The sequence below is a fragment of the Homo sapiens genome, chromosome 2 (genome assembly GCF_000001405.40).
Source record: "Homo sapiens chromosome 2, GRCh38.p14 Primary Assembly".
Classification (NCBI taxonomy): Eukaryota; Metazoa; Chordata; class Mammalia; order Primates; family Hominidae; genus Homo; species Homo sapiens.
In genome coordinates this window covers 148575472-148588986 of record NC_000002.12, presented here as the reverse complement: position 1 = coordinate 148588986, position 13515 = coordinate 148575472, and the positions used below count along the sequence as shown (strand labels likewise).

Here is a 13515-nt window from a genome sequence, read left to right as displayed (position 1 = left end):
TATCAAAGTATTACTACATTCATTTGACCTACTTATGATGTATTTTCTCAATCAATGGCTACTTAAACCACTATCATGTAGAAGTTTGTTATTTTATTTTAAAAATGGGGTGCTCATATTAAAAAATGTTTGGAAGCTTGCAATACTTGAGAGCTTTTTCTGCATGAGAATACTACCTAATATCATACTTCCCAGAGGAAATGGCAGAGTGGGCCTCAGACGGAGCGGCCCAGGCAGCTGTCCCTTCCCTCAGAACTGACACAGTATCATCCCACGGATTCAAAGAGGTCCCAAAGAAAGAACAGATTCCTCTTTGAGAGGAGTTTTTTCCTAAATAATGAATAAAGATATCTTTTCTCTTTTATTTCCAAGTCCAGGGTCTTAATTTCCATTATTATAGAATCAGTATAAGACAATACCTTAAACAAACTAACAAAATGCAGCCCGGCCATATACCCAGATGACATAAAAAGCACGCTCAGTTGTGCTACTGCACTTGAAGTTCTCTGGCAGCAGGTGATGTGTCCAATTCACCCTTGTATCCCTCAGTGCCTGGCAGAATGATGGCACACAGATGAATGAATGAGCTGGGAGCATCCTTGTGTGTATTATAAATCTGTGCAGGATGACATACTTTCTATTACTTTCCTAATTCTTTGTATGGTTTGAATATTTGTCCCTGTCCAAATCTCATGTTGAAATGTAATCCCACTGTTGGAGGTGAGGCCTAATAGGAGATGTTTGGATCATGGGCTAGCTCCGTGGCGATAAATGAGCTCTTGCTCTGAATTCACATGAGATCTGGTTGTTTATGAGTGTGATATGCCTGCTCCTGTTTTGCCTTCTGCTATGAGTAAAAGCTCCCTGAGGTCTTCCAAAAGGTGAGCAATGCTGGTGCCACGCTTGTGCAGCCTGCAGAACTGTGAGCCACTTAAACCTCTTTTCTTTATAAATCACCCAGTCTCAGGTATTTCTTTATAGCATGCAAGAATGGCTTAATATATTACTCTCAACTGAGTTTTAGCCTTTGAAGAAATCCTTTAGAAACTACTGATTTAGACTTTTGCTAGAACTGATGACAAAATATTTTAAAAGACAAGTATGGATTCTCTCTGAAAACACAACTGACTTCTTAAAAATGAAGCTTCCTATTACAAGAACAGAATATAATATCCTACCCTGGTTCACTCTACATTATTCCAAAGAGGAAGCTTCCACTTCTGATAGTGCTGTGCTGAGCAGACTGAATTAACCACAATCACAATGACCAATTCTACTGGTTACCTTTAGCCAGAGAAGAAAGCTTTGATTACTACTAGCAACCCTGTTACTAAATGAATCCATCACATCAAATGCCACATTACTGATGAACTAGAAAACTCCACAATTTAGGGGACAAAAATAAAAATGAAATCCTAGCAAAGACATGGAATCAACCTAAATGCCCATCAATGATAGACTGGATAAAAAAAAAATTCGGTACATATACACCACGGAACACTATACAGCTATAAAAAAGAACAAGATTATGTCCTTTGCAGGGACATGGATGGAGTTGGAAGTCACTATCCTCAGCAAACTAATGAAGCAACAGAAAACCAAATACCGCATGTTGTCACTTAGAAGTAGGAGCTGAATGATGAGAACACATGGACACATAGAGGGGAAAAACACACAGTAGAGCTGACTGGGGGTTGAGGGTCAGAGGAAGGAAAGCATCAGGAAAAATAGTTAATGGATGCTGGGCTTAATACCTAGGTGATGGGATGATCTGTGCAGCAAATCACCATGGCACACGTTTACCTATTAACAAACCTGCACATCGTGCATGTGACCCCTAAACTTAAAAGCTGAAAAAAAAAAGAAATCCAACGATGACCAATAAGATAAGTCTTTCTGAAGTGTTATTTGACCTCTCTTGTTATTCAGTTCTTTAAAAAAATTTTTTAATTGATATATAATTCAATAAAATGTATCCATTTGAGTGTACAATTCAGTGATTTTTAGTACATTCAAAAGGTTGTGCAACCATCACCACTATCTAATTCTAGAATGCTTTCATCACCCCTAAGGAAACTCCCTATCCCCAGCTCCTGGCAACTACTAATCTACCTTCATTTCCTCCTGCTTACCTCTAGTTAATAATGCCTCTAGCCTTGGGAGGTGGTGGCCGTTAGCATCACAGGCCTTGAGAGAGTTCTGTTTCTAAGATACTTTTCTTGCTCTGCCACCACCGGTAAATGCTATTGACCAAGCAAAGAAATCCCAGGGAAGTCTCAGTAGGGCAATTACTCTTTGTCATGTAAAAAGAGAGGGTATGTGTGAGACGGCTGGTGAAGGATGAACTGATGAGCACACAGATTATTGCCTTTACTGAAGTAGAGTATTGATTGTCATGGATGGCTGAAGATCACATTCTCTAGAAGGATAAAATAGCAGGGCCATTACTTTCAGAGTTAAACAAAGGCATTTGCCATCCTAAAGTCCAAGTCTGGGTCTTCCATTTATTAGCATTATACAAAATTCTTAACTTGCTGACAATTTGCATCTGACATTTTGTTTTCATTTTAATTTTTAAAAATGTTTAAATTTTTAATTTTTGTGGGTACATAGTAGCTGTAAATATTTATGGGGTACATGAGACGTTCTGATACAGGCATGCAATGTGAAATAAGCACATCATGGAGAATGAGGTATCCATCCCCTCAAGCATTTATCCTTTGTGTTACAAACAAATTACATTTGTTTAGTTATTTAAAAATGTACAATTAAGTTATCAAATGTTAGGTGTTATTCATTCTTTCTTTTTTTTTGTACCCATTAACCATCTCCACCTCCCCACCTCAAGCCCCCACTACCCTTCCAAGCCTCTGGTAACCACCCTTCTGCTAAATGGAGCAAGACAGTTTAGGAGAGAGCTGCCTGGGTGTGAGAAGGAAGAGCAGCCCTGACATCCAGGGGTTGACATGGCACTCACAGCCAAGTCTCATTCTGTTGAACATAAACAATTTCATAAACATTAACATCAGATAAGGCCACTCTGTGATCCTGATGGCTCAACACAAAGACGAGACCACTCTCTTATGTCTGAATATGGACAAAAACATGAACATTGTCCAAACCACCAAAATAACCAAACATCCCTTTGCCCTGGCTAATACGAGTGAATGCTGTTTCCTTACTAATCCCAGCTTTAGCTTTCCTTCATTTCTCTCACCCTCTAGCAAAGTTTTATTAGGACGCCAAATCATAGAATTGCCTTGGCTCCCCGACAGCATCTATTCCAGACCAAGGCCCAGCTTCCTCAAACCTTTTTCAAAATCACATAATTCAAGCCCAAATCCTACCATATGTCCTTTCAAACACTTCTAGCTGAGATGCTTCACAGTTCTCCCTCACTGCAATGAGTAGTAAACCCAACTTGTTCATTTACAGCTGCGTTCCTGGTGATATTTGACTGGAGGACATTGACAGGAGAACAGGCAGCTTCTACAAGGATGACTTCAGGGGACCTTGGAAGGGCTGTTGCCCAAAACTATTTCACCACAGGCAATGCCTGAAATTCCATCCTGAGAATGTTATTCCTTTGGGTGAACACTTATCACCTATTAAAGTAGAAAGGTTCTTAGAGAAGAAATTACCCTTTAAATATTCTTAATCCAGCCAGGTGTGGTGGCTCATGCCTATAATCACAGCACTTTGAGAGACCAAGGTGGGTAGATTGCTTGAGTCCAGGAGTTTGAGACCAGCCTGGGCAAAAATTAGCCAGGTGTGGTGGCGCGCATCTGTAGTCCCAGCTACTTGGGGGGCTAAGACGGAGGATTGCTTGAACCTGGGAGGTGGAGGCTGCAGTGTGCCACTGCAGTCCAGCCTGGGTGACAGAGTGAGACCCTGGCTCAAAAACTAATAATAAATAAAAATAAATAAATACTCTTAATCCTAGATGTCTGATTTTGAGTAACCTACTTTCATATTTCATTTATTCTTGAAATTTCCTCACATTTTAGCATCTCAGAAATTAAGACACATCCTATGATCCATGGCATCTTAAATTCTCTGAAACATGGTGATTCTTCTGAGCTTGTTTCCTCAGTTGTGAGTTTTAGTGTTGGATTAAATACTATTTCCAAAACCTCAGTTATTCGCAAATAACTCTCACCATCTTTACTATCTGTATGTTCTACAATAATGACATTCATACCGTATTTGTTCTTTACAGCAACCCCCTTTTAAAAGGTAAGTTAATGTGGCATTTTTCTCATAATCATATCCATGAAATCCTGGGCAAGATGTGCTAGCTTTCCCTAAAAATCTAGTTGTAACTTTCCCTAATATATAAAATATACTTTATGTATTAAGATAAATACATAACTATAAAAACTTACAGAATGTTTTTTCTTTTTTTTTTTTTAATTTTTTTTTTTGAGACGGAGTCTTGCTCTGTCACCCAGGCTGGAGTGCAGTGGTGCAATCTCGGCTCACTGCAAACTCCGCTTCCTGGGTTCGAGCCATTCTCCTGCCTCAGCCTCCCCAGTAGCTGGGACTAGAGGCGCCTGCCACAACGCCCGGCTAATTTTTTGTATTTTTAGAAGAGACGGGGTTTCACCATGTTAGCCAGGATGGTCTCGATCTCCTGACCTCATGATCCACCCGCCTCAGCCTCCCAAAGTGCTGGGATTACAGGTGTGAGCCACCACACCCGGCCTAAATGTTTTTTCATGTTACACCTAAAATCATCTCTCTTACCCACAGTGGGAGCCATGCCATGTTGGGATGACATGGAACTAGCTGGCCCCTAGTAATATTCTTAGCTCCTGTGTTTGGTGTTTCTGTGGTTATAAGTCAGATATACACCATCTGTGCCCCAAAATTCTAAGGGTCAAGACTGACACGGACAAATATAAGTACATACAACAATACATATTCTTTAAGCACAAAAATAAATCCTATTAACTATTTACATGGCAAAGTAAGGATAATTGTGTTGAAAGTACTGGAGCTTGAAGTTTAATTAGCTTTATGTTGGCAAAAAGCTTCAGATCTCTTGATACTTGAAAACACATATGATCTTTGCTTCAAAAAAGTTTTTTTTGGAATTTTGTTTAGGAAATAAGGAAAACAGGTTTGTTCTGATTAATCTGGGAAAGAAAAGATTTTAGAAACTACTCGAGCTCTTTCCTTTATTACAACCAGCCAGAGGTCCTCTAAGCCCTTTCTACTCAAAGTATGGTTGGTGGACATGAGCATGGCCTGGAGCTTGTTAGAAATGTAGGCTCTCGGGTCCTAATGGCAGACCTGCTGAATTGGAATCTGGCCCAACTGGCCATTTTTCCTGGCCCCAAGTGATTTGTATGAATAATAAAGTTTGAGAAGCACTGCTCTAGCCATCTAAGCCTACCTTAACCGTGGCTTATCTAAAAATAGTCCTTCCTAGACATATCCCAGGGCAGGGAAGCAAGGAGACCAGCGGATCCTGATGGATTAAAAACTTGAGATTTTCGAGTGTTTCTTCTCCACCGTCTTTGAGGAACACCACATTACACAGAAAACTTAGGAAGTGAAAGTTTATTTCATTTAGGGGAAAAAATAAACACCAATTTAAACTAAAATCAAAACCCCAAACCATAACTTGTGGTCCTTCTGAGGCACTGAGGTTAACATAAAAATAGCCCTCATTTTCCTCCTCTTCCCACCAGATCTCACCACCTCACACCCCTGCACTCACTGGCCTGAAACACACCTGTCACATGTTGTCAAACTGCAAGCTTCCAAATGAACACCTGAAGTGCAAACATCCAAATGAAGTAAAAGATGTATGGGTTAATTTATTCACATAAAAAAGGAAATGTCTACCTCTACAGGGAGAAGACATGGGTGTTTTTATGAGGAAACATTTCTCTAGAAAGCATTGCCCAGAGGGCTCTCTTATTGATCTCAGAACTCCTGTTCCTTCCTTAATTTCTTCATTTAGTCAACATTCAACACCTATTTGTTAAATAAATGAATGAGTGAAATCACTTCCCCTTATGGGCAATAGCCCAGAAATCCTCCTTTCCCTCTCAGCCCCTGTGGAATCTCTGGAATTTTGCTAAAGGCTATTTGATATCATTTTCTGCCATCCTAACAACACAATAAAATCAAAACCATTTTTTAACATTTCCAATGACTAAGCAGAAATTGGTTATTAGGATGGCCAAATGAAATTTGCCAATCAGAAAACAAACAAACAAAAAGCCAGGGGGCTGCTCCTAACCATGGAGATTCTATCCTTTTGCATGAGCCATACTCTAATATTTAGATAAAAGAGAAAATTCTTTTATTTTTAGCTTATTCATTCCTTGTTTCCAGGTTTCTATTCTGAACTCAAAACATTCTAGGCTCCAATGTTGATACCATTTCATTTCTGTGTCATATTTCTTCAGCATATTCAAAAATTTTCCCAACTAGCTTCTCAACATTTGCTGTTGGGGGTGATAAAAGGTTATTGTTAGAACATTATCTCATGTAATTATATATAATCAAGGACTTTGATGAGTCTATACAAATAAGAGTAACATCATTTATTTGAGAGGAAGCGTTCCTCAACATGTACATTTGACAAGCGCATTTCAAAGCCTAAATATTCATGTGCTTCAGTTTTCTCCAGGTACTGTGTAACAAGGAGGAAGAATAGAAAGAAGTGGGCAGTTACTGTGCCCCTACTCTGTGCCAGGCATTCTGCTGAGTGCCTGCTAAGAGTTGGGTAAAGTAGTAGATTAAAATACATTACAGATGAGCCCACTATGTGCTTGGTACTGTTTCTGGCTCTAAATATCTAAAACAGAAATTCTGATGTAGTCGTTCTTAGCCCTGGCAGTATAGTAGAATCACTTGGAATCTTAAAAAATTTATACTAATGCCTGGACCCCATTCCCAGAGATTTTGATTCAATTGGTTGAAGTGGGGCAGTGGACATCAGGGTTTTTAAAAAGTTCTCTATGTGATCAGCCTGTGGGCCAAGGTTGAGAACCACTACTTTGAAATACATGTTTTTATCATATCGTATTAAAATCATGCATATGTAAATCAGAGTGATAAGTTTATTGAGATTTCAGTGTAATAGAAAGAATATTTTTTCTTGTGTTTATTGAGAACATGGGCCAGGTCTTATATTTCCAGTACCTTTCTTCAGTGTGTGTTGAAGATCTTAATGATGACTATTGGGAGGCTTCTCAACATCATACCCATACTGCCTAGCCCATCACACGTGCTTAATACATGTCTATTAAGTAGAAAAAAATAGGCCAGCTATTATAGCTCATGTCTATCATTCCAGCACTTTAGGAGTCTGACACAGGAGAATTGCTTGAGGCCAGGAGTTTGAGACCAGCCTGGCCAACATGGTGAAACCCCATCTCTACCAAAAATACAAAAATTAACTGGGCTTGGTGGCATGCACCTGTAACCCCAGCTACTTGGGAGGCTGAGGCAGGAGAATCGCTTGAACCCGGGAGGTAGAAGTTGCAGTGAGACGAGATTGCGCCATTGCACTCCAGCCTGGTTGACAAGAGCAAAACTCCATCTCATAAATAAATAAATAAATAAATAAATAAATAAATAAATAGGCTTCAATTAATGAAGGAATAATGATGCAGTACCATAGTACCACATTATTGCCTTGAGTCAAAGAAGGCATAGAAATTAGCCTTCCTGAGTCAAAGAAGGCATAGTGAACTAGCTCCACTGTTCCTAGCTCCATGGATTACAATCAGTCATTCACTACCCATCTCCTCAGCAGCAAATGACAAGCATGAGTCCTTTGCCACAGACTGATCAGAGGCCCCTGAACCTATCTCTGCGGCAGCTGTGGAGGTCCTTGGACCCTCCCCTGCTTCATCCGGGGCTCGTCATTGCCAGGGTCAAGGTGTGATTACGCAAGGAGTGCCTTCCGTGGGAGAATCAGACATGACATTAACACCACGGGAGAAGAAAGAGTTCCATAGGCTTGGGTAGCCAGGGACTGAATTCTGTGAGAGTAACTCTCCTTTATTTTCTTAGAGTCAACCATTTCACCTTTGAAAAATTCTGCCCTCTTTGCTGCGACTGACTATGGTGGGACTGGGCTGTCAGATATTGAACAAAATTCCTATGATCAAGGCATATTACGCATGTGTGGGTGTGTTTGTAAGTCTAAGTTGTATTTAAATGTCACCTTCTATGAAAGAATTCCTTTGAACAATTTGGGAGACCAGAATCTATGTAGCATATCCTGCTGCCTTGGTACATCCTATACAAGATGTATTACATTGTGTTCTTATTATGGTAGCTTCCCACTACAATAGACCTTTTAGTACACATATTTGGATATATTGGAGACCAGCTTATTTTGTGAAGTTTATACTAATAAATAGTATAAGCTATTTTTATACTATGCTATGTTCTGGCATGGTCCACCTGTATTGGTAGATACTAGTCTCATCCTCCAATACTTGCATGATAAAGAAGTCTTCACTATTCGACATCAATCTATGTAGCTGATGTGTAAGGCTCCATGCAGATTATTCCAGGAAGATACCACCTGCTGCAGCACTAGCCATTGCAAATGTAATTAGAGTGTCCAAGAGTGTCACCTGAGTAGCTCCTGGCTCAAGTGGAAGCACCCACAATTTCTTACTTGGACATGCAAAGAGCCTTGTGTGCCCTGACGAGGCACACAAGGGCAGCAGGAAGTTCTTCGGAATTCTGGGGGCCTGAGCTGCAGGCAGATCAATTCCATAATATCATTTGGAAATTGGGACATTGGCAGGGAGAGGGTTCACTTCTGTACAATGGCATCTTTGCAGGAAGAAGATTTTACAAATTACCCTCCTCCTCACTTGGTCTCTCTCTCATGGATGCGCTTACTCACACCTTCACTTTGTGATCTTGATCAGATTTTATTTCATTTTATTTATTTATTTATTTTTTGAGATGGAGTCTCGCTCTGTCACCCAGGCTGGAGTGCAGTGGCACGATCTCGGCTCACTGCAACCTCCGTCTTCCGGATTCAAGCGATTCCCCTGCCTCAGCCTCCTGAGTAGCTGGAAATACAGGTGTTGTCACCATGCCTGGCTAATCTTTGTATTTTTAGTAGAGATGGAGTTTCACTATGTTGGCCAGGCTGGTCTCAAACTCCTGACCTCAGGTGATCCACCTGCCTCAGCCTCCCAACGTGCTAGGATTACAGGCGTGAGCCACCAAGCCTGGCCTATCACTTTAAAAAATACACCTGATTTCTAGAATGAGAAGGTAAAAAATAAACATGTATCTATATTATACGACATATAAAATACATAGATTCAAGCATCTCATTCTTTCTGTTACATTTGTTATCATAATTCGCCCCATTTCACCTGCTGCCGAATTGCCTCTTTATCAACTTATTTTCCATCCTATTTCTTTACTCCTTCCTCTTGTAATTTTGCAATAGCCTTTCTCTTATTGTTCCAGCATCTCTAAAGCTTTTAACCACTCATTTGTCAAGCCAACTCTTTCCCTGTATTGATATTTAACTGACAGGGAATAATTATTAGGCAGAAAATTAGATGAAGTGCTAACCATATTGCCTTCATTTTCCTGACGCAAAATTTTCCTGGGGTTTTGTTTATGAAAGATTGACTGCATTGTTCATAATTTGATGTATTTTTTTTCTTTCACATTCTTCAATTTCTCAGTTTCTTTACTGAAAGGAAACAGTTACAATCATGTAGGGAAGTATGTCTGAGAATTAGTGTTGGATACCAAAGGTGATATAATAGTTAGCGAGAGCTGCGTGACAATGTACTACACACTGGTTGGCTTAAACAACCAGAAATGTATTGTTTCACAGTTCTGGAGGCTACAAACCCAAGATCAAGGTGTTGGCAGGGTTGGTTCCTTGTAAGGGCTGTGTGGAAAAATCTGCTCCGTGCCTCTCCCCTGGTTTCTGGAGGATGAGTGGTCTTTTGTGTTCTTTGGCTTGAAGAAGCATCACCCTGATCTCTACCTTTATCTTCACTTGGCGTTCTCCCTGTGGGTTTGTCTGTGGACAAATGTCCTCATTTCCTAAAGCTACTAGTCATATTGTATTAGAGCCCACCCTAATGACCTCATTTTAACCTGATTACCTCTGTAAAGACCCTATCACCAAATAAGATTATATTCTGAGATACTGAGGGTTAGGACTTCGGCTTTGGGGAGACATAATTCTATCTGTAACAGGGATGCCTTTTTCTGTGCTGTATGTATATGACTGGACTGAGAAATGTTTTGCTTCCTCAACAGCTGGCTTGTTTAGACAATGGGCCATTCCTCCCAGTTTCATTCTGTCTTTTGACCACTTGACATTGGTCTCACTTGGTATCATCATTCTTCAAAGGAAATAGCTATTGCTAGAGAGAAAGCAGTGACTTGGTTTCAAAGAACCTGCCCATCATCTCTATGGGAGAACAAAAACTCACTCATACTCTCCATATCTTTGTTCCTGTTTCTCCTCATCCCTCCCCACTGCCCACTCCCCACCTCTTCTCCCAAGCTGTCACCCCCTTTGACATTTTCTTCTGACCCTTCTCAGAAGTCACTCTGGCTTAAGTCACTACCTGCTGCTTTCCAGAAAGCCAAAGAAGCAACCTATCTAGGACTCTTTCTCAAACAGCCAAGATGCCAGTCTTCCTGCTGTGAACTCTTTGTCCCTCTCAGCAGCCCCCACTGAGGAGACAATCACTGACCCACAGATGAGCAATAAGCTCATCTGTGAGTAAAGAGGTCAGTAGGATGAGCTGAAAATGCCACACCTGGGGGGTGGGAAATGAGTTCAAATGAGGCAGAAAATAAATGGAAGAGTCAACATAGCCTTCCAGAAAACTCAGAAAACTTGAAGCCTCAGGTTCATTTTTCCGACCTGCCCATGATGTTTCTTGTTGGCTCTCTCGCTACAGAGAGCACACCCTTTACCCGTCTCAGACAGAGGAATAGAGCTGCAAAGCTGAGTGCTGCTTTAGCTGGCTCCTTTGATATTTTTGGTTCATCTGCTCACAACTAAAGCAAACGAACTAGTTACAATCACTGTGTCCTTGTAATGCTCTGACATCAACAAAAATAAAAGGGAATTTTGCCTCTGGGAAACTTTTGTAAGCTGAGTTTTCCCAGAGATTGGGAAAAGCTTACTCCAAATCATTTCCCAATACATCTGGGTATTAGACTTTCCAAAGCGGTTATTTCCCAGGGGAACCGGGGACACCAAGAAGGTATCAAAGTGAGGAAGCACATTTTGTTTGAGAAGTGTCTGGCAAGGAGCATAACCCAATGGGTGTGGTGGAAAGGGCATCCGTTTTGGAGTAAAAACACCTCTTACAGCCAGGCTGGTGGTCCACACAATAGCCCCAGCCGGGAGTGGGAGGGTCTCAAGAAGCTGAAGGAGATGGATCGCTGGAGCCCAGGAGTTCAAGTCCAGCCTGGGTAATGTAGCAAGACCCAGTCTCAAAAAGAAAAAAAAAAAAAAAGGTTCTTACTAACTACATGACTTAACTGCTCTGAACCTCAATGTCTGCTTTTTAAATCTGTCAAATAGGGAAAATGATTCCTACTTCAAAAGTGACTATAAAGTCACTGAATATATGCTGAATTACAACTTTTTGACTCTACAGGTTATTTGGAGGCAAATTCTCTTGCCTTTTTCTATAGAAATATCTCACTATAGTCCTGATTCTAAGGCAAGAAAGGAATGAACAGGCAAATGAGAGACAACCAAAGCAAGACAAGGAAACTAGCTGCTTAATGTGGGAGCACCTGTCTACACCTAGAACTTCACTGCAAGGCAGTTCTTACTCAGATGCATCAGATTGGCCAAAGCAAGGCTGGGACAACATGCATGGTCTTCACTTGAGGCTATTCTTGCCCCACGCTCTCCAGTCCAGACCCAGTCACTCCTTCCAAATGTGCATTTCCGTGCACAGGAGCACATCCACCTGCATACACACCTTCAGAAATTGACAGCGAGATTTTACTATTGTTTTGGATTAGGAGTTGAGGAACAAAGAAACTTTCTTTGCTTACTACGGCTCACTCTAGTGTTTCATTTCTCACCTAATCATGTACTCTTTGTAGTATGCTATAATTATTCTGGATATTGTCTTATCTCCCCAAATGAATGCAGATCAGGAGTGAGTCTTTTATCTCTTTTATATGCACTGAAGCTCCACAATGCTGAGCAGACAGTAAATATTCAAGAAATGCTGCATGAGCTAGATTTCTACTCTGGCTCCAAAAGTTTAACTTGTATTAGAGCAACTCTCCATTGAAAACAACTAGAATGGCTAAATTTTTGTAAAAAGATCATCTGTTTGAAGTCATCAAACAGATAGAGTGACCAAGGCAGGCATAAATTAGGGGCAAGGTCCAGGAAAGAAAGGAAATACATTGAGGCAGACCCAAGTGGAGCCACTTCCCTTACCCCCCATCCCACCTAGGCATTTGATTCATAGGAGAGATGGGGCTGAGAGGCGGAGAATACAATCAGAAAGAGATGGCTAAGGGACAGAGAGACTGAATGGAATTTCCAGTAGTTTCACAGGGTTGAAGAAATAAAAGTTGGAGTCAAGTAGAAGCGGCATGGGTAAATACCTCAGGTTCTCAGTTGGGATCCCCGAAGGGCCACACCATAGGAACAAGAAAGAACCAGAAATAGCTCTGTCTCAGGAAGAGTGAAACCTAACCTCAGATCAGATCAATTCAAGGTTGGATTAAGGCAAACAGCCCTATTCTAGTTGCCCTATAGAAGCAAAAGTCAGTCAACTCTGGAGGAAGATAACATCATCTAGAACATCTATAATTTTCATGTCATTATTCAGTGGCATTTACCTTTATATATACGTCTCTCCTGCCCTTAGCTTTCAAATCTCCTTCTTGAGATGTGGAAGAGGCATAGACAATCAGAAACCCTGCCCTTTAGGTCTGTTTTCTTATCTACAGGGTGAGATCAGCTCTCTGGCTTTGAAATTCTTTGCCTCTATGTGTGGAACTACCTTCAGCCTCACCCTAACTATGCTACATCCTGTTTTAATCAATTGTCATCCACCCTGTCGGTGAGGGGGCTGAGGGGATTCCTGCCCTATGGTTATGGGGATGGCCAAAGAAAGGGACCTGGCAGTGGACATATATGTATACACTAGTCACAGGTACTCACAGCTTGGGGGAGGAGACACTGCACGCCATGCAGGGCTACACAGAATTTGCATTTGGGAACAGAGTGAACCACCAGAGGCTGTGCAGTGTCAAGACAGTGAGGTGACCCCTGGCTCCCACACAAAGATGTGATTGTCATGTTTGACATATTCCATGGGCTGGCAGGGAACTGAGACCTGGTGCTCAGGACCAGCAGGAACTGTGTCTGGGGCCTTTGATAAGGCTGGGAGTTTGGTTGGCGGACCTTATCCATGGGAGTTGAATGAGGATGGGAAGTTGGAATTAGGCCACTTGCAGCTCTCCCAATTTTACCAGCTGTCAAGGCAGCACGTAACA

The 13515-nt window shown here is 41.2% G+C and overlaps 2 annotated features.

The window, feature by feature from the left end:
• Positions 9737-10450: an enhancer, noted in NCBI's record as "OCT4-NANOG hESC enhancer chr2:149336106-149336819 (GRCh37/hg19 assembly coordinates)". NCBI's record gives its function as "activates a minimal SCP1, AML or CMV promoter by ChIP-STARR-seq in naive H9 embryonic stem cells {active_cell/tissue: H9 hESC(naive)}" and the evidence as "EXISTENCE:reporter gene assay evidence [ECO:0000049][PMID:30033119]".
• Positions 10451-11165: an enhancer, noted in NCBI's record as "OCT4-NANOG hESC enhancer chr2:149335391-149336105 (GRCh37/hg19 assembly coordinates)". NCBI's record gives its function as "activates a minimal SCP1, AML or CMV promoter by ChIP-STARR-seq in naive and primed H9 embryonic stem cells {active_cell/tissue: H9 hESC(naive and primed)}" and the evidence as "EXISTENCE:reporter gene assay evidence [ECO:0000049][PMID:30033119]".